This window comes from Homo sapiens, chromosome 16, assembly GCF_000001405.40.
Source record: "Homo sapiens chromosome 16, GRCh38.p14 Primary Assembly".
In the NCBI taxonomy this organism is placed as follows: Eukaryota; Metazoa; Chordata; class Mammalia; order Primates; family Hominidae; genus Homo; species Homo sapiens.
In genome coordinates this window covers 50,744,091-50,766,975 of record NC_000016.10, presented here as the reverse complement: position 1 = coordinate 50,766,975, position 22,885 = coordinate 50,744,091, and the positions used below count along the sequence as shown (strand labels likewise).

General features: G+C 35.6%; 1 protein-coding gene across 26 annotated transcripts in view; it reads right to left on the bottom strand.

Annotated features, from left to right (window-relative positions):
- CYLD (CYLD lysine 63 deubiquitinase) overlaps positions 1 to 22,885 on the bottom strand; it is a 59,850-nt gene that overhangs the window by 34,960 nt on the left and 2,005 nt on the right. For 11 of the 26 annotated variants that reach the window (XR_007064858.1, NR_166071.1, NM_001378743.1 and 8 more), the window contains exons 3-5: positions 16,774 to 17,400; positions 15,070 to 15,372; positions 12,552 to 12,657 (exon numbers count right to left, since the gene is read on the bottom strand). Coding sequence is in view for 24 of the 26 variants with exons in the window: in NM_001378743.1 (NP_001365672.1) it covers positions 12,552 to 12,657; positions 15,070 to 15,372; positions 16,774 to 17,277 (913 nt within the window). In the remaining 2 variants the exon portion in view is untranslated. Of the gene's footprint in view, positions 1 to 12,551; positions 12,658 to 15,069; positions 15,373 to 16,773; positions 17,428 to 22,109; positions 22,247 to 22,885 lie in introns of all 26 variants that reach the window. The other 15 variants (NM_015247.3, NM_001378745.1, XM_047433661.1 and 12 more) reach the window with 5 other exon arrangements.

Here is a 22,885-nt window from a genome sequence, read left to right as displayed (position 1 = left end):
CCTGCTGCTTCTTTACTAAGTTTATGGAATATTCTAAATCCTTTGTTGTCATCTCAACGATGTTCACAATATCCTCACCAGGAGTTGATGTCATCTCAATGAACCACTTTTCCTTTCTTCATCCGCTCAAGTTTGATCATGAGATTATAGCAATTCAGTCAAGTACATTTTCAGGCTCCACCTCTAGTTCTAGCTCTTTTGCTACTTCCACCACATCTACAGTTATTTTTTCCACTGAAATCTTCAGTCCCTCAAAGTCATCCATGAGGGTTGGAATCAACTTCTCCCAAACTCCTGTTAATGTTGATATTTTGACCTCCTCCCATAAATCATGAATGTTCTTGATGGCATCTAGAATGGTGAATCCTTTTCAGACAGTTTTCAATTGACTTTGCCCAGTCTGTCAGAGGAATCCTGATCTATGGCAGCCTTACAGAATGTATTTCTTAAATAAAACTTGCAAATAGAAATTACTCCTTGATCCATATGCTGCAGAACAGTTATTGTGCTAGCAAGCATGAAAACAACATTAATCTCCTTGTGCATCTCCATCAAAGCTTTTGAGTGACCAGTTGCATCATCAATGAACAGTAATGTTTTGAAAGGAATCCTTTTTCTGAGCAGTAGGTCTCAACAGTAGACTTAAAATATTCAGTTAAGCATGCTATAAACACATGTGTTGTCATCCAGTCTTTGTTGTTCCATTTATAGAGCACAGGCAGAGTAGATTTAGCATAATTCTTAAGGATTTTGGGATTTTCAGAATCCTGGCTTCAACTTAAAGTCACCAACTGCATTAACCCCTAACAAAAGAGTCAGCCTATCCTTTGAAGCTTTGAAGCCAGGCATTGACTACTCATCTCAGCTATGAAAGTCTTAGATGGTATCTTCTTCCAATAGAAGGCTGTTTTGCCTACACTGAAAATCTTTTATTTAATGTAGCCACTTTCATCAATTAACTTAGCTAGATCTTCTGATAACTTGCAGCAGTTTCTATATCAGCACTTGCTGCTTCATCTTGCACTTTTCTGTTATGGTGATGACATCTTTCCTTAAAGTTTATGAACCAACCTGTGCGAGCTTCCAACTTTTCTTCTGCAGCTTTCTTACCTCTCTCAGCCTTTCAGAATTGAAGAGAGTTAGGGCCTTGCTCTGGATTAGGCTTTGGCTTAAGGGAATGTGCTGGTTTGATCTTCTATCCAGATAACTAAACCTTTCTCCATATCAGCAATAAGGCTGTTTTGCTTTTTTATCATTCATGTGTTCACTAAAGTAGCACTTTTAATTTCCTTCAGGAAATATTCCTTTGCATTCACAACTTAGCTAACTTTGGCACAAGAGGCCTAGTTTTCAGTCTCTCTCGGTTTTCAACATACCTTCCTCACTAAGCTTAATCATTTCTAGCTTTTGATTTAAAGTGAGAGATATGCAACTCTCTCTTTCACTGGAACACTTAGAGGCCATTGTAGGATTATGACTTGGCCTAATTTTAATATTTTTGGGTATCAGGAAATAGGGAGGCCCAAGGAGTGAGAGAGACAGAGGCCCCACTAGTCAGTGGAGCAGTCAGAATACACACAACATTTATCAGTGGAGTTTGTCATCTTATATGGGTGTGGTTTGTGGTGCCTTAAAACAATTTCAATAGTCACCTCAAAGATCATTGATTACAGATCACCATAACAGATATAATAATAATGAAAAAGTTTGAAATATTGCAGGAATTACCAAAATGTGACACAGAGACACGAAGTGTGCACATGCTATTGGAAAAATGGCATTGACAGACTTGCCCAAAGCAGAATTGCCACAAACCTTCAATTAATAAAAAACACATATCTGTGAAGCACAATAAAGAAAAGCGCTATAAAATTAGGTATGCCTGTATTTGATTTCGTAAGACAAGTGAAATTACATTTAGCCATGTTACTCTGGGAAAAACAATATTAGCATAGAATTGGTTATCCCTGCAAGAATACATAAATAATGAAAGAAAATTTGTTTTTCAAGTGATTCCCCCATAGCTATCCAGCAAGTTAACATTATAAAATGAGCATAACTCCTAGAATTTGCTTAGGACACAGTGTCTCAAGCTCAGTTCTACTAAGGTTCTGAACCAGATAATTCTGTGTTGTGTAGGGCTGCCCTGTGCACTGTAGGAAGTTTAGAAGCATCACTGGTCTCCATGCATTAGAGGCCAGTAGTACTCTCACCTCAGATGTGGCAATCAAAAATCTCCAGACACTGCCAAATGTCCCCAGGAGACAAAAGCATCCCAGGCTGAGAACTACGGGCTTAGACCTAAAAAATGCACTAGTTACACAGTAAAAATAGTAGCATATTTTAAACAATAACAAGTATATCTAGAAAGAATTAAGAAAGCCAAAAGTTGGTCCTTTGAAAAAATGAAAGTCAGAAACCACTGGTAAGATTGGTGAAGAATATAAGAAAGCACAAATGATTAACATTTTGGATGAAAATAGGAACACAAGGGCAGATGCTGCTGAGGTTGAACAGAAAATTAAGAGGCTTTTATAAACAACATTATGCCCAAAGCTTTGAAAATGAATTAAATGGATACATTCATAAAAAATAAAACTTGCAAAAGACAATCAAAAACAAACAAATGTTAAAGGATATTTCATCAGTAGCTAAACATTTCCACAAAAAGAAGCTTTGTCAAATAGTCAAGGAATAGGTAATTCTAATCTCACATAAACTCTTTCAAATAACAAAATAAAAGAAACCTTTCCCAGGTACTTTATGAGACAAGCACGACTTTGATTCCAAAACCAGACAAGGACAGCTAAAAGGGAAAAAGTATAGGCCAATATCTCTTATAAACAGAGATTTTAAAAACAGGATGCAAATACTAGCAAACTGGACCAAGCAAAGTATGAATCATGAGGAGGTTGGGTTTACATCATGGATGTAAGGTTGATTCAATATAAGAAAATTAGCAGATTAAAAGAAAATAGGATTATCTCAATAGAGAAAAAGGGGTTGATAAAATTCAACATCAATTCATGATAAAACTGTTAGAAAACTAGGAACAGTAGGTAACTTCTCTAACCTGATAAATGACAGATACAACAATAAAACTCTATAGCAAACATCACATTTAATAATGAAATGTTGAAAGCATTTTCTTTAAGATCAGAAAAAAAGGCCAAGATGCCTTCCATCACTACTTCTATTCAATATTGTATTTAGAGGTCCTAGCTAGGACAGTAAGAAACCATTTTTAAAAATAAAAGAATTCAGAAGAGGCAAAACTGTTATTATGTGCAAACTATAATGACTGAATATTTTATAAGTAATCCATGGATTGTGAATAAGATATTTTAGTAAGTCTGTTTGTAAGAAAAATCAGCACACGAAAGTCAATTGAAAATGACTTCATTCCCACTAGGATGGCTAGAATAAAAAAGTCAGATAATAACAAGTATTGACAAGGACATGAAGAAACCAAAACGCTTACACACTGCTAGTAGGAATGTAAAATGGTGTGGCTGCTTTGGGAAACAGTCTGGCAGTTCCACAAATGGTTAAACATAGAGTTATCATATGACTCAGCAATTCCACTCCTAGATATAAACCCAAGAGAAACAAAAGCATATGTCCACACAACAACTTGTACATGCATGTTTGTAGCAGCATTATTCATTTTAGCCAAAAGGTGAAAAAAAAACCTAAATATCTATCTACTGATTAATAAACAACATGTGATGTGTCCATACAATGGAATATTATTCTGCCTTAAGAAGGACGGAAATTCTGGCACATGCTACAACATGGAGGAACCTTGAAAACATTATGCTAAGTGAAAAAAGTAAATCACAAAAGACCACATATAATGTGATTCCATTTAAATGAAATGTCCAGAAAAGGCAAATATGCAGAGACAGAAGTAGACTGGTAGTTGCTTAGGACTAAACAAGGATGAAGGGTTTGGGAGATGATCACTAAGGGGTGCAGCGTTTCTTTTAGAGGTGATGAAAATGTTCTAAAATTATCTTGACAATTGCACATGTCTGTAAATGCACTAAAATGCACTGATTTGTACACTCTGAGTGAATTATAAACTAGATCTCAGTAAAGCTGTTTTCTAAAAAAAAAGTCAATTGTATTTCTACATCAGCATGACACTGTTAGAAAATATGCTTTATAATGCATCAAAATGCAAGTAAGCTCTTCATGGAGAAAATTATAAAATTTTACCAAAAGGAAATTAAATAAATGAAAGGATACACAAGGTTTATATATTAGAAGTTTTAATATCATAGAAATGTCAATTCTCCTCCAATTGTTCTACAGATTAATTGCAATTCCAAAATCCTAACAGAACTCTCTTATAGTATTTGAGAAGCTGATAGTTAAACTTACAATGAAGCCCAAAGGCTAACAATAGCCAAGACATTCATTAAGAAAACAAACAATGGAAATGTACTCTCACAGCTACCAAGACTTCTAAAGCTATGGATAGGCTTTAGTGTAGGGAAATGACAGGGCTCAGAAAGATCCACACGTGTACATCTGGAAACTTGATTTATACGCAGCAAGCATGGAAGGTCAAATTGGATATCTGTACCCATATTTCATATCCTGTTCAAAACCAAATCTAAGTGAATAACACACTTAAATGTAAAAACGCAAAACTATCAAGAAGACTACTATTTTGAAAACAGTATAGAACAGGAAAATTCAAAAGAACAGTGAGAGGAGACTAGTGTTAATAATATTAAAACACATAAAGAATCACACGTGGAAGCAGAGTGTGGAAAGATGAATAAAGGGGGCTTGGGGTGGCGGGGGGTGGATGATGGGAGGTTGCTTGGTGGGTATAATGTGCATTGCTCCAGTGATGGATGTGCTGAAGGCCCTGACCTCACCACAATGCAATACAGTAGTGTAGCACAATTACACTTGTACCCCATGAATATATACAATTTTTTAAAAATCATTAAGAACAATGTGGTATTGAAACGTGGGAAGACAGAATAGAAAGTCCAGAAATATACCACGCTACACGTGGAAATTTAGTATGATGAAAGTGGCCTCTCAAACCAGTAAAGAGGGACTTTTTAATAAATGATACTAAGACAACAGGGTATCTTCTACCTGTGGGCAAAAATAAAAACTAGATTGGATTTATATTTCACATCATATACCACATAAAACAGAAATGGGTCAAAGATATAGATAGATAGATAGATAGATAGATAGATATAGAGATATGTACTAAAACCACAGAGTACTAGAAGAAAACACAGGGAAATTCCTTTATAACCTTACAGTAACTCAAAATCCAGAATCTATTAAAACTAAAAGAATACAACAGCATAAAAATTTTATAAATCCTGCAAGGCAAAAAGCACCAAAGTCAAAAACATCACACCAAGTGAAATGCACCAGCTCCAAAGGACATATGTATGATTCCACTAATATGAGATACCCAGAGTAAGCAAAGTCATAAGGACAGAGAGCAGAGAACAGAGATGAGCAGAGGCTGGAGGGAAAGAGGAACCGGCAGCTATCTCTTCATGAGTATAGAGTTTCTATTTGGGATAATGAACAAGATTTCTGGAAATAGATAGTGGTGATGGTTGCACAACTGTAAACATACTTACACTGAATTATACACTTAAAAATTGTTAAAATGGTACATCCTGTTAGGTATATTTTACCACAATAAAAACAAATGAGGGTGACCAGAAAAATAAGCAATTTTAAAAAAAGACAAATGACAAATGAGGGTGGAAGAGTGGGCAACATTTGCATCTCGCATCACAGAAGAGTTTGCCACCCTAACACATGAAGAAATCAGTGAGAAAAAAGGCCAATAACCTAACCCAATTTAAAAATAGGCAACAGATGCAAACAGTTCACAGAAAGAAAAATTGCCCTTAATCATATGCAAAAATGTTCAACATCACTCAGAGAAATGCAAATTTCTATTTGCAAATGTATTATATACACTGAAATATATTTTTTATCTATCAGATTGGGAAAAAAGTTAGTAACACACTCTCATGGGAAAGCTATAAGTTCCCCCTTGTATTCTACTGGCAGGAATATAAATTGTTATATCTACGACTGAAGGCAATTAACAATATCCAGAACAATACCAACGCATACGCCCTTTCATCAAGCAACTCCACTTCTGGGAATATATATATCCTCCAGATATGCTAGCACATGTGGGAAACAGACATGTACAGGTTACGGTAACATTGTGTGCAATATCAAAAAGTCAGAAACAACCCAAATGTCCATTGATAGGAAACTGGTTAAATAAATTATGAAATTTTTTTCCGTACAATGGAAAATTATACACTATAAAAAACAAGAACCTCTGTTTGCAAATATACAAAGAGTTCTAACATATAAAATTAAGAGAATAAAGCAAACAGCAGAATAGTGTATCTACTACACTTCTTGAATTAAAAGGGAAGGGGGAATAAGAATATTTATATTGTATAAAGAAACACTGGAAAGATATATAAGAAATTCATAAAAACTGTGACTAGTGAGAAACGAAGGATGGAGTAAGCAGGCAACTGAGGCAGAGGGGATAAAAATGGAAATGAGATATTTTATTGTACTTTTTAATTTTGATTTGAGATACATGAATGATTTCTTCTTAAAATTGTTTTAATAACTTGATAGAGGTTTCTAATTCAAGGGTATATATATATTAGTTAGAACCCAAATAAATCCATATGTATGTCATTATATGTGTGACTTCTATCTGAAATGAAAAAGAAAACCCTAAATACTTATCTCTAGTTAATTAGATGCACACTGAAGTATTTAGGAGGAAGTGAACTGGTATCTGCAACTTAATGTGAAATGCACAAGAAAACGTGACGGATAAGTACGTGAATAGAGAGGTGGACAGATACATATAAAGCAAGTAAGATGTTGATTGTAGGATCTAGATGATATGCATAAGGATGCTCAATATAAAATTTTCAGTTTTTCTGTTTAAAATGTCATAACAAAACATTAAAAGATGTTTTATTAAAATTCTAAAACTAGAGAACTCATGAATCAATAAATGAGCAACTCAACAGAAAAACAGGCAAAAAATACGTGTTTAATAGAAGACACAAATGTTGTATAAACATATAAAAGGCTGTTCAATCCTACTTGTAATCAGGGAACTACAAACTTTTAAACCACCTTGAGATACCATTTCTCAGCTGTCAGGCTGGCAAAAATTTTAATCAGTACCAAGTGTGGAAAAGGAGGTGGAAACAACCTAAAACCCAAGCGTCCATTAATATTACAATGGGCACCAAACTGTGGGATAGTCACATGACGAAATATACTATGAAGCAGTGAGAGTGAACAAACTACTAATGCCCTCATCCACAGAAAAGAATCTCAAAATACATTTTAAGTAAATGATGCAAGTAATTTAAAAATCAGTAAGATTTTAACTACATTAAGTTCAAAAGCAGGCTAAACAGTATATTGTTTAGCTACAGAGATATAATTAAATTATAAAAAGCAAGGAAATAATTAATGAAAAAATCAGAATAATGGTCACCTCTAGGGAGAGATTGCAATTATAATGAAAACAAGGTATTGCAGGTGGTTTTCAAGGTACTTCTAATGTTCTGTTTCTTAACCTAGATGGTCAGTTTCATGAGTGTTCATTATTATTCTTAATATATGTTGTTATATATACTTTTGCAAATACATTCTACAGTAAAAAGTTTCTTTTTTGAGATGGAGTCTCGCTCTGTCACCCAGGTTGGAGTGCAATGGCACAATCTCAGCTCACTGCAACCTCCACCTCCCAGGTTCAAGCGATTCTCCTGGCCTCAGCCTCCTGAGTAGCTGGGACTACAGGTGACCGCCACCACGCCTGGCTAATTTTTGTATTTTTAGTAGAGACGGGGGGGTTCGCCATGTTGGCCAAGCTGGTCTCGAACTCCTGACCTCACGTGATCTGCCCACTTCGGCTTCCTAAAGTGCTGAGATTACAGGAATAAGCCACTGCACCCAGCCAAAAGTTTCTTAAATATGAAAATGATGAGCACATTGCCCATTTTTAAGGATTAAACATGAATTCGTATAATATTAACATAAACATTCAAATGAAATTGTTTAATAGCTAACTCAATTTTAACATGATCAAAACCAAGATCCTGACTTCCAACTCCCACTCCCCGACGCATGCTCTTCCTGTTGTCTTTCCCACCTGGGTAAATTGCCTCTCCAGCCTACCAGTTGCTCAGTCCAAACCTTGGAATCATCCTTGATTCTGTTCTCTCTCTCAAACCTCACACCCAACCCATCTGCAAATCTTGATGGGATCTTTACATTATATCCAAATCCTTCACTTACCATCCTCTTCATACCACCCCAGTCCCAGCCACCACCGTCTCTCACGTGGATAACTACAACAGTCTCCTTCCTGGTCTCCCTGTTTCTGTCCTCTGTCTAGTTTATTCTTAACAGGCAGCCAGAGAGATCATTTAAAAATGCAAATTAGGGTGAGTTGTCCTTTGTTCAAAACCCACCTATAGCTCCCCACCTCTGTCACTATGAAAGCCAAGAATCCACACAACAGCCCACTGAGCACTACCTGTTCCAGCTCCCACTGCGGCTCCTACAACTTTCTCCCTCACTCCATCTGCCGCAGCCACAGTCAACTCTTCACATTGCTCAAACTGGCCACGCTGGCTGCGGCCTTGGGCTCTCCCTCGGAATCCACATGTTCTCTCCCAAACTTCCTTCATGTCAACAGCTCAAATGTCACCTTATTAGAAGGTTTATCAGAACTACCCTACATGAAATCGAAAAATCCCGCCCTACAACCTAGTGCTCCCTTCCTCCTCACTGTGTTTATCATTTTTCATCTTATTATCATGTAATTGATCATACACATTACATATTTACTGTCTGTCTCCACTCACTAGAATGAAAACTCCACACGAGAAGAATTTTTACCAGTTTTGCTTCCTACTATATCCCCAACATCTAGGTAAGGGCTTAATAATATTTGAATGAAGGAATGGCCTTTTATTAAACTGTTTTGTAAACCATAAGCATTTATTATAATATTTAAAAGTACTTTAATTCATAAAATAAATTGTATTATCTCCATTAACAATCATGAAAAACTAGGCCGGGCGCAGTGGCTCACGCCTGTAGTCCCAGCACTTTGGGAGGCCGAGGCGGGTGGATCATGAGGTCAGGAGATTGAGACCATCCTGGCTAACACGATGAAACCCCATCTCTACTAAAGATACAAAACATTAGCCGGGCGTGGTGGCGGGCGCCTGTGGTCCCAGCTACTCGGGAGGCTGAGGCAGGAGAATGGCGTGGACCCAGGAGTCGGAGCTTGCAGTGAGCAGAGACCACGCCACTGCACTCCACCCTGGGCGACAAAGCGAGACCCCGTCTCAAAAAAAAAAATCATGAAAAACTAAATTAAATTTTGCCAAGTAAAATATCAAGCACATATATGCTTTTTCCTGAATGTAAATCATTTGTTCCCAAAGGGAAGCAAAATAAAAAATAGCTAGGAATTCAATTTGCAATAAATTAAAAATTGATTTTACAAACATCAAGTAAAGCAAAGTATGTCACACTTTGAAGAAGTAAAATTGAAATAAAGCTATCATTTGAATCCTATACCTCCAACTAAATTAATGTGCTGTTGCTGTAAAGCTAAAAACTAAAGCAGAAAGCATGCCCTAACTTGAAAAACAAGCATTGATTACTTGCTTCAGCAACAGGAAAACAGGAAGCGCAAACAGTGCACGCTAAAAGGAACCTTAAGAATCATCTAGTATTAGCCCTTTCATTTTTACAACAAAAGAAACTGAGGACCTGAAATGACCTGAAAAAAAAACAATTCAGTTTGCTTATTCAATTGTGATCCTTGCTATAGCAAAATTCAGCTTTTATAGAATTAGAGACAAAATATATCTCCATGGAAACAATATTCCCAAGTATACATGTGAGACTGAGAAGTATGGTTTTCTATGCAGGTCTTCACATCCTAAATATACAGATAGGATTTGGGGTGGGGAGGTACTGAAAAGAGCACAGCTTTCTAATCAGACAGGTGTGGATTTAAATTCTGGCTCTACTATTTACTTTGATTTTGGTAATTGTTGTCCATCCGAGCCCCAGCTTTTTATCAGCGAAATGGGGATCATTAAGACTTACATTATAAGTTTGTTAAGAATGTAAAAAAGTATTAAGTCGTCTAACTCAGGGCCTGGTACATTCCTGGCTACAGTCTGCCTGCAGGCCTTCTGACATTTTAATCAGACTTGCATAATGCTCAATGAGAATCACCATCTCTGACTGCCACTGTTGGCTTTATTGCACTAGCCTGTATCACAGAGAGTTCCACTAACAGCAGGGGGATGAAACTGTTGATGCTGTTATCAACAGAAATTGTCAATTACCTGACAGCAGACACTAGGTGCTACTTGTTAGAGGCAAAATAAAAGATTGCTTGATTTTTCTTCTAAATGTAAAGTTGAGCAATCTATTTCTGACTAGAGTCCTGATCCCTGATCAATCACACCTTCTCAAAACTAAAAGGGATCTCACAGGTTATCCAGCAAGAATCTTCTCCACAGTACATTAGATTAGATTAGATGACCAATGTCTGTGTAAAGCCTTCTAGTTTAAACCAAGCTCTCACTCAGGTAGCAGTTTATTACATTTTCCGATCCTTCTAATTAACAGGAAGGGTTTTTCCCCCACTAAGAATGGACAGGTGATGAAAAAGTGAATGAAAACATATTAATGCCACCCTTATACTCATATACGTCTGGAAACAAAAATCTTAATTATTTTCATTTGAGGGTAAAGGATATCCTATTTAATAACAATTCCATAATATAAAAGTCAAGTTCTAAAAATATATCTTGAAGCTTACATTTATGTACTCAAAATATATATTAGAAAGCTTGCCTTATAGAGGGATCAAAGACTTAAATCTAAGACCTGAAACCATAAAGATTCTAGAGGATAACATTGGAAAAATCCTTCTAGACATTGGCTTAAGCAAAGACTTCATGACCAAGAACCCGAAAGCAAATGCAACAAAAATGATAAATAGATGAGACTTAATTAAACTAAAAGGCTTCTACACAGCAAAAGAAATAATCAGTAGAGTGGGAGAAAATCTTCACAATCTATACATCCTACAAAGAACTAATATATAGAATCTACAAAGAACTCAAACAAATCAGCAAGAAAAAAACAATCCCATCAAAAAATGGGCTAAGGACATTAGCCCACTTTTAGACAATTATCAAAAGAAGATATACAAATAGCCAACAAGCATATGGGAAAATGCTCAGCATCATCAATTATCAGGGAAATGCAAATCGAAACCACAATGTGATACCACCTCACTCTTGCAAGAATGGCCATAATCAAAAAATCAAAAAAGAATAGATGTTGGCATGGATGTGGTGAAAAGGGAACATTTTTACACTGTTGGTGGAAATATAAACTAGTACAACCACTGTGGAAAACAGTGTGGGGATTCCTTAAAGATAAAAGTAGCTCTAGCGTTTGATCCAGCAATCCCACTACTAGGAGTCTACCCAAGGAAAAAAAGTGATTATAGGAAAAAGATACTTGCACATGCACGTTTACAGCAGCACAATCTGCAATTGCAAAAATATGGAACCAGCCCAAATGCCCATCAATGAACAAGTCGATAAAGAAAATGTAGTACACATATGTGTGTATATACACACATATGTACACGTGTGTATATACACACACATATGTACACGTGTGTATATACACACACATATGTACACGTGTGTATATACACACATATGTACACGTGTGTATATATACACATGTGTATATGTGTGTATATATGTATGTATATATGTGTGTATATGTATACATATCTATATGTATATATACATATATATGTATATATACATATATATGTATATATACATATATATGTATATATACATATATATGTATATATGTATACATATATGTGTGTATATGTATATATGTGTGTATATATACATATGTGTGTATATATGTATACATATATGTGTGTATATGTATATATGCGTATATATATATACATATGTGTGTGTGTATATATATACATACACCATGGAATACTACTCAGCCGTAAAAAGGAATGAAATAATGGCATTCACAGCAACCTGGATGGAATTGGAGGCTATTATTCTAAGAGAAGTATAATAACTCAGGAATGGAAAGCCAAACACTGTATGTTCTCACTTATATGTAGGAGCTAAGCTATGAGGATTCAAAGGTGTAAGAATAATACATTGGACTTTGGGGACTCAGGGGGAAAGAATGGGGGGTGGCAAGGGGTAAAAGACTACACATGGGGTACGGAGTATACTTCTCGGGTGACGGGTGCACCAAAATCTCAGAAATCACCACGAAAGAACTTATCCATGTAACCAAACACCACCTGTTCCCCCAAAACATATTGATATAAAAAAATAAAAAATTAAAAAATAAAGTTTGCCTTATAAATGTATAAAACAAAGAAAACATACCTGGGATGATATCATTGATGTGCAATAGAATTGTACTTTCAACACACGCAAAACTACAAAGCTGCACTCCATCAAATCTTCCATCCCAGTTGCCAATAGGGTTATCCTAGAAATTAAATAATAAACATTAAAATCCTCCTCAATGAAATGTAAATGTGGAAGTCTGTATTTTCCATAAAGAATCCTCCAAAATATTTTACATTGGTAAATGTTAACAATTTTACCTAAAAGAAAGAAAGAATACATTAGGAATAGTTGCCATAGTAATAAGGTTTTGCTTTTTTCATTGGTTTGTTCATTTTTTTCTTTAGGGAAATGAGATTCAAGAATAACCAAGTGATAGTAAACCCCCAGATAAGCAAAGAATTGAAAGTGTTTTTTTCATACTTTACTGAACAATAAATACTAATCTGTAGGATAACACCCATTTGAGGTTTAAAAAGACAGTATTTTGCACAGGAAGTTTCATTAATAATATATTATTTCACCCAGAAACCTGCCTCTAATTAGCCCTAAGTTCTTCATATTCCCTGAGCATTTAAATAGTCCATCTGAACTTCTGTATGCCTTTCTGTACATAAAAAGTCTATTTTCTAATTGTTCTTTTGTCATTTATGAGCATATAGGAATCTTCTCCAAGATGGAGATGTTTATATTTAATTATCTGATATTCTAATATAGTGCCAACTAGCACTGTGCTGTACAGGGAACTACATCAGTAGACGGGCCAGTCAGACAACTGCCCTGGGCACCAATGTGCATGGCATGCTAAAATGTCCCTGGAAATAAAGGATGAATAGAAGGAAAAGGAGATAAAGAAAGAAGTTCTAGCATTTGCCAGAACTTTCCTCTTAAGGACTATAATAGAAGTGTTTGGAATGAATATCTGCACAAGTCAGCTATGGGACAGATGGAGGCAAGGAGAGAAGCTGGCAGGGCAAATCTCTAGGCAGCTTGCCTCAGGTAAACAAGCTGACCCCAGACCGCCATCTGAAAAAGGCAAGGCCTAAACCCTAAACAGCTTCTGCCAAGTTTGAGGCCCAAGGTAAAGAGCCTGATGCAAGGGGAGACCAACCCCAATGACCAGTGGCCCTCTTTCTCCAATCTTCCCTCCATGAAGGCCACAATTCTCCTTGAAATAAAGACTGAATTACTATTTAAAGAATATTGGTTAAAAGGAGTGCTTTACTGTCAGCTATCCTGAGGGGCATACATGTTTTACTCTGGTTCTAACTTTTCACATGTTAAGAGTAAACGTTTGTTTAGTAACTAACCAATGAGTATCAGATAGAATTTCCTGGAATTTTCAAGCACAGGAAACCATTACACTAGAACATTACCTTACCAACCAAAAAGTATACCTGAGCAGATAAAAATGATGACTAAAAGCATCCCCATTGTGAGTATAAGAGATTACTACTCACATCGCCTCCTAACTCATTCTAGTGTTCAGTAATTCCATATGAATTTCCTTCTTTATACATAACAAAGTCTTGCCCATATGTTCAATATATGATAAAAATGGTCTCAGCCTTTCTCTTCTTATTCTTTCAGTGCCACAGGTATAATCCAATGAACCACACTGGAATGGATCCATTATTAAAAAGTATGATTGTAAGGAAACATTAAAAATAAGTGACACAAACAAAAGGTCAAATGTTGTATGATTCCACTCTTATGAGGAGCCTAGAACCGGCAAATTCAGACAGAGAAATCAGAAGAAATTGTGGTTAGCAGAGGTTGGGGAAAGTGGGCAGTTACTGTTAAAACAGGCACAGAGTTTCGGTTTGGGATGATGAAAAAGTTCTGGAGATGAACAGGTGACAGTACAACAATGTGAATACACTTAATGCCACTGTATGCACACTTAAAAATGCTTAAGTGATAAATTTTGTTATGTATATTTTACCACAATTAAAAAAGGTTTTTAAAATGAATGAAATCCTATGAGATATTCTGATTGTCTATTCCTCAAAATCAATGTGGTTTTCCTCTACTCAGGTATTTTCTATAAATGATTATTATACTAATTATTAAAATCAGATCAGCCATTAAATTGTGTAGAATATCACAAAAAAATGGAGTACCCCAAAAAACTGTTTCAAAATAAAGAAAAATAGGACTTCAAGTAATATAATTGTGTTTTGTCTTGTTTTGTTTTGTCTACTGGTCAGCTACAATAAGGCAAATTTAAAGATAGAGAACATTATTCTAGTTTATTCAAATGGGAAAAAAAAGTAAATGTAATCTGTATCTAGACCCCTGTTCTATTTCAATGCTCCTTTACCAAAGATAAATTAGAACATGTTCTTTAAAGTACTCCAAATTAGATCATGTTAAATATTCAAAGTGTTCAATTTGCAAGTAAATTGGTCCTAAAACTAATACATATATATATAAACTATACATATATATGTGTGTATATATATGTGTGTATATATATGTTTATATATATATATACATATATATATAAACTAATATATATATCACAAAGATATTTAATCCAAAATTTTCTTACCATGTCCACACCAACAAAATATCCTAAGCTTTCTTTTCCTGGCAAAACATCACAGAATATAACTGTTCCAGATTCTATTGTTTCTCCAACCTTCAAAGAAACTCTGGAGTTTATTTCCAAAGGAGGAAGTTCGACCTGCATTGTGTCCCCAGGACCTGCGTAATCACTTTCCAATGCAGTGTCATCATCTTCTATGAGTTCTAGCTTGTCCAATGCAACAAACACGCCACAATCTTCATCACACTGAAAAAGCTGTTTCCCTTGGTACACCCCGTCAGTGAAACCTTGACCACGACCTTCTTCCTAGTTTTTAAGAGAGAAGGGAAAGAAATAGATATAGAAAGACGATCCATAGGAAAAGGGGTTCACTCTAGGGATTTCAGGAAAATCACTCTGGAAAATTTCTAAATGATACATATAATAAGAAATACAATTATTAGCAGTTTCTGTTGGATTTAGAGTGTTTTAAAAAATAAGAAGTTGTATCTGATGCTGAAATAATATTATCTGATAATTTCAATTCATAACTCTATCATGAGAAAGCTAGGCTGAATTCCACGTTGTGATTCTAACATTAATTTGGTTATAAAAAGAAAATGTTACTTTAAAATAGCAGTAATGTTAGCTCCATTCATTAAGCACTTATTGTCAGTCACTGTGCTTAAATCCTGCATCAATGTACCACAAAAACACTACAAGTCATGTACTATTAACACCATTGTACAGGTAAGGATGCAGAATGAGAGAAGTTAAGTAGCTTTGTTAAGTAACCTGGCAACCCAGCTAGTAAATGGCTTAACTGGGATTCAAATTCCTAATTGTTTACAATCACTGCTTTTAAAAAAAATTAAATCAAGAAGCAAAGAAGACATGCAATTCTATTGGCAAGAGTGTCAAAATGTAATTGGCATTTCAGTTCTTGTGAATGAATATTAAGTTTGGAAACATATCACAGCATTCTTGGGTCTCCTTCCGGTAGAAATAAATTCTAAGGATTTTCACATATATTATCGGGGACAATTATAAGCAAGTTTAAATTTCTGCAACTTTTTTTTCAAAAATCTTATATCTAAATTGTTATTTAATAACATACATTAAGAAGAACTAAGAAACCTATAGATGATAACGCAAGGTAATTAACAATTTTTTATGTAACTATTTACAACTGGTAGCGTTCATGTTTAATACAGGCAATGTTAAAATTTCTAAAATATATATGTCTGCAATAGCCAGGTGAATCTCTTTGTATGTTCCTACCATAGTACATAGTTTTTTAAGTTTCGACATCATCTTTACATCTTCGCAATTCATCATTAAAAAGTAAACAAAAGAAATTAAATCAAGAAGCAAAGAAGGCATACAATTCTATTTGCAAGAATGTCAAAATATAATTGACATTTAAGTTCTCAAGAATGAATATTAAGCTTGGAAACATATCACAGAGTTCTTGGGTCTCTTTCCAACAGAAATAAACGCCAAGGTGATTTTCACACATATTATCAGTGACAACTATAAGCAAGTTTTGGATTATGGATTCAACCACAACATGGATTCATCAGCAAGGATGATGAATATTAAAAATTACAGAAGACTCTTGGGAAAATTTATTTCGTATTTAAGGAGAAAAATATGTATGTGCATACAAATACACAGACACACATGAACACAAACAAACACACTACTAAAATGGTTTATCAAACTTACCAGCAATTCAACTCCAAAGAATATTCCGGAGACTGTCCTCTCTGCTAACAGGGGTCCTCTGAAGCGTACAACTCCAGGAAATTTTTCTTCCCCAGATCTCAGCTGTACTTTCACAGGACAGCCCACGTCTATTTGGAGGCCTTTACTTAGTCTGTTTCTGTTTTTAAACAGGCTGAACCTCTCCTCACAATTGGTAATTGCCAAAAGTAACTCTGTGAACTTTTCATTTATCTCTACAACATCCTTTTCATCAACAAAGAGAACTGCATGAGGTTGCTCTAGAATTTTTAATCCAATCTGATTTTTCTTGCCTTTTGCAGAAGGAATCCTTGAATGCCCCACAGAACGATCTTGAATATACTGTCCTATACTTCCCTTCGGTACTTTAAGGAGCTTTTGTGTTTGTTTGTCTGTAACGCTGCATTCTTGAAGAAGCAAGTAAAAAATCCGCTCTTCCCAGTAGGGTGAAGTGACTTTTTCTTGGCTCCATAAGCCTGAACTCATTGTGATATTAACTTCAAAATACTAATTCAAAAAAGGGAAACTACTAATAACTTTGTCATAAAACCGCAAAAGATAAATTCAGTGGCAGTCCCAAAGCATGTTTTCAGCAACGTGGTGTCCATGCTGTAAAAAGAAAGGAAATCAAAATGCCTAGTGAAAAAGCAAAAATAAACTTTAGACTTCATTCTACATGACTGAAAATTAAGACTGAAGACTTTTAAAATTTTCATTTGACCAGTAAACACATACACACAAATGAAATATTTTCAAAAAATATCTAAAAGGGCTAAAAGACATACATACTGTATTACTTTTATCTACTGTAACTGTGCATATTTAATTAATGAAATCCAATTGTAAAGTACTTTCAAAGACAACACAATGTTTGCTTCCAAGACACTGAAATTTATAAAATCAGATTCTAGTAAAAACTTTTAAAGATTACCCTTATATACATATTCTAACTTTTTTTAATTTATTTTTATTTATTTGTTTTGAGACAGGGTCTCACTCTTGTTGCCCATGCTGGACTGCAGTGGCACAATCACAGTTCACTGTGGCCAAGACCTTCCAGGCTCAAGTGATCCTCCTACCTCAGCCTCCCGAGTAACTGGTATTATAGACGCATATCACCACACACAGCTAAGCTTTCTATTTTTTGTAGAGACAGGGTCTCACTATGTTGCCTAAGCTGGTCTTGAACTCCTGGGCTCAAACAATCCTCCTGTCTTGGCCTCCCAACGCACTGGGATTACAGTCGTAAGCCACCAGGCCTGTCCCATATTCTGACACTAATAAACTTTTAAAAGTAGCGTTTCGGGCTGAGCTGTGTGGCTCATGCCTATAAATGATAGCTATGATATGGCCATATTGTGATAATGGAACATTTTACCTCTGACTCAACTTCATTTCATATATTTTTTCTGAAGATGGGCAATGTTCATCACATTAATCATAGTTATCTGATTTCTCAAATCGCAAATATCAGATATTATAATATGACTATATTAAAAATATTTTAAAAATCAATTTTGTAGCATCAAAACTTGTACTACATAGCAAGGGAATATCATGATATAACTGCATTATAATTTCTTTCTATTATTTCTTTTTCAAATTTTCATTTATTTTTATTTTATTTATTTATTTTTAAGACAGGGTCTCGCTCTGTCACCCAGGCTTGGGTACATTGGTGCGATCATAGCTCACTGCAGTTTCAAACTCCTGGACTCAAATGATCCTCCCACCTTGGCCTTCCAAGGTTCTAGGATTACAGGCATGAGCAACTGCACCTGGTCCTCATTTAAAATTTTTACAAGAATAATAATCTTTCCAATGAAGTAGGCTCATTCTCAAACCTATTTTAACTGATGGTTAAAAAACTACACAATTTCATTAATTTAAACTGAGACTTTACTTCATTATTTTAATTAATTTTCTGCTGAAAACAATACTTCCTAGGTATCCCTGTCATAAGAATGTGGCTATCTGGTTTCCAAAGACAGTACTTTCATTTCATCCTTCCTTGAGATAGAGGTATCCATTTCCATTATTCTGGGTAATGGCTGCAATTGATAGCACTATCATATTTATTTTATTCTAGCAATTAAAAAATAAATACTCCTAAAGAACCAAATTTTAGATTTAATCACTTAATGATCAAACAACCTGGCAAATCTATACACAGTGGAACACTTCTTTTAGAAAGCACTGCTAGATAATGAAGTATTCCATAATGGTAACGTTCCTAAAAGTCTCTCCCTCTACAAGCCAGCATGAGACATGTGGTTTAGCCAAGACAGGATACAGGTTAGGCACCTCCTTCAAACCAACATGACTGAAATATCTGTGTAACACTCAGTGAGGGTAAAAGCAGAGGTAGCATGAAGTGGTTCTCTTTTCTTCTTTTTTGTGGTGTGTTTGTTTTAATTCCACTTGAGGGCACTGTCTACTTCAGCAAGAATGGGATCAATTTATATTTGCCACTTATATAAGACACCTGTGGAAACCTCTATCTTGACACAATATAAACAAAACTCCTTATAAGGGCTGCCCAAACAGCTATCCAACCCCTCAATTTGGTTGGATTCCTTTAAAGGACCAAACTGAAGTGTTGGTTCTTTTTGACCAAAATGCTTTTAACATGTCAACACTTTCCACAAGAAAATGTCCTTATTTTTTTCTTGATCATTGATGTATCATTATGACTGTAAATTATTTTGCATAACTCTTGATCTGCAAGGCTGTTATTTTGTTAAAAGGCTGTATCTTATGCTTCCTGAGGTCGCGAATGCTTTCTACAGATCTACTGTCTAGAGTTTTCCCTTGCAATCAGCCATTTTCTGTGGTTTCCTGCTGTATGCATTTGACTCCTTTTACGGCCTTGTTGCTTTCCAACTTATCGCTTCGAATCAGTTCTGAGAAGCCAGGTAGTGAAATATGTTTGTGTGTTTGAAAACACAAAGCAACAATCGTGAAAAGAGGAATGCATACATTCTGAAAGGGTCTTTAGGAGCAAAGGGCACATAGGCTTTATTGAATAGAGAGTCTGGTCACTAGCAGAAGGTTAAGACAGTCAAAAAGCAACTTTCAAAAAAACGAGCTGTTGTTTTGGTTCTCTTTAAAATGTATTTAGATTTTTAGGGCCAAAATTTTTTTGAAAAAGGTAAAGTAATTCTATTTTGAAAAGAAATTCTTTTTTAAAATTCCTAAGAACAATGTCTTCAAATATTACAATCAGAAACTTCCCTGAATCTTAATAATTGCTTTATACCAACAGCTCCTACTCTATTGGTCCTGTAGCTTAACTATTCATGTCACAATTTAAAATAAAAATCATTAATGCTAATAATCTATTATTAAGACAAAACTAAATTACTATATGTGCATTAGGACATTATGTTAAATAAATTTGATTATAAGCTTGCTTTCTGAAATAATTTAAGGAAGAGAATCCACAGTAAAAATTGATATAACTGCTAGGTTTATAAAAATGTTTTAGGGTAATAAACTATAGCTTTCAAGTACCATATTTTAAAGTGAACTCTACAAGGAGTGGTAACTTTTTTCCTAACTTTCATTAGCACAAGTGGAAATGAGCTTAGACTTAGCAATAGGATGGGTCATGTTAGACAACTAAAATAGTCAAGCACAAGTTATCAAATATTTCAAAAGCATTATCCAAAAATAAAGGATACAGCCTTTCCTCTTTCAGAAAGAATATATTAAGAACAAGTTTGAAACTCTCTTATTAAAAATTGATTCTCTTCACTGCAACTGATAGAGAAAGTTGAATGGGAAACTTTACGGCTCGAGTCTAGAGATATACAAGGCAATCAACTGAATGATCACTAATATTCTCGGCCAGGCACAGTGACTCACGCCTGTAATCCCAACACTTTGGGAAGCCAAGGTGAGTGGACAGCTTGAGCCCAGGAGTTTGAGACCAGCCTGTGCAACACAGTGAAACCTCATTTCTACAAAAAGTACAAAAGTTAGCCAGGTGTGATGGCATGTGCCTGTAGTCCCAGCTACTTGTGAGGCTGAGGTGGGAGGATGGCTTGAGCCCTGGAGGGAGGGACTGCAGCAAGCCATGATCACGCCACCGCACTTCAGCCTGGGTGAAAAAGCAAGACCCTGTCACACACTCTCTCACATATATACACACTCCATTATATATATATATTTATTTTATGTACTCAAAATACCAGTATTGCAATAAAAATATGCTAACATACATTTCTCCCCACTGTAGAAGTGAATATAACACCAACAGTCTACTTTCACTGGGATGTGCATAGTAGTTAAATAGTTAAAGTCTTAGGTACCCCAAGCAGTAAAAACTGACTCAACACAATATGAAGGGAAAGATCTAAATCACATTGTAAATGAGTTATTTATCATCAAGAAGGTTGGTTTGTTAGTTTGGTATTTTTTACGCTTTCAGTACAGAGTTAGATACTGAAAACTACATCATCTAGGCTAGGCACAGTGGCTCACTCCTGTAATCCCAGCACTTTGGAGGCTGAAGTGGGAGGATCCCCTAAGCCCTGGAGTTCAAGGCTTTAGTGAGCTGTGATAGCACTACCGCACTCCTGCCTGGGTGACAGAATGAGAGCCTGTCCCAAAAGGAAGAAAAAAAAAGAAAAGAAAATTAGCCGGGTGTGGTGGTGTCTGCCTGTGGGCCCAGCTACTCAGGGTCCCAGCTACTCTGGAGGATGGGAAGATCGCTAGAGCCCAGGAGGTCCAGGCTGAAGAGAGCTATGATCACACCACTGTACTCCAGCCTGGGTGACAGAGCAAGACCTGGTCTCAAAAAAAAAAAAAAAAAAAAAAACAAAGAGGAAAGAGAGAACACACACAAAAAAAAACCCAACATCAATCCACATTCACTCAGCTTCTGCCTTTAAGTAAAGGCCTAGGGAACAGTAAGACAACTGAAGGAAAAAGAAGCACAGCTAAATTCAAAGTCACCGTAGGGCAGGTGGGGGTGAGGGGTCAGTGTGAAGGGAGAAATTTTCACTTGTATTCTCTTATTATTTTGCAGGTTGAATCACTTTGAGTGAGTATATCACAAATGACTCATCTAAATACTATCTTACTTCAGGCTGGATAACTGTGTGATTATGAATATCTTGGTAATAAATACTGAATGAAAATTACCAACGAGTTGAAACACAATAATATGTTTAACCCTAAAGCCATGTTGAACAGAAGGCCTTTCCTTTAAGGACGCTGATGAAGGAGAACAGTTCAGGTTCACATAGATTTGAAAACATTTCTGGTTATCTGAGCTTGTTGATGGTCTGGATTCTGAGTAAAGGGGAACTTACTTGTATTAAGATGAAGTCATTCAACCAAGACGAGAGTTGGAAGGCACAAATATTTATCAATTTTCCATGAAGACAATGGAAAGATGATCAGGAAATATGTTTTACATGAAAATGTTAAAGATTACAATTACCACATTCTGAAAGGCAACATATAGTACAAATGAACATCAGTAGCTACAGAAAACTAACAATGGTTAACTTATCCAGAAGATGCAGTGTTTTTCTGATTCTCAAGTTATCAGGTTATATTGTTCATAAGGATCTCACAAAGACAGATCCAATTCAAGAGCTTTTTGCATCTCCAAAGATATCCTGCTTGTTCTAAAAACCACAGGAAGCTATTTAAATTAGAATAAAACTTACAATACTTAATTCTGCCCCTAATTATAAATGGCAAAGAGGTAGGAAGGTCAGCTTGAACACCAAAGAAAGAAGACATGTGGGCCTTTTTCCAAAAGCTTCTGGATAGCTAGAATGATCATCCTTTTAAAAGAGAACATCTCTCACTAAAAGACAAAGTTGTTATATTTCTAAACAGCTAAAGAATAGAGATACAGAGATTCCGTGGCCAGAAAAAAGACTGAGTCCGTTTTAATTTTCCTCAATGACTAATTTGTGTCACAAGTACACAGTCCCTAATACAAGTGGGATTTATAAGGTTAAAAAAAAAAAAGAAAAGAAGAGCCTCTCACATCTGCATATTCCCACTGGAACAAGGAATACTGCTGCCTCTCTAGTGTTAAACCTAGCCACTCCACTGCCAAACTGTGAATTCC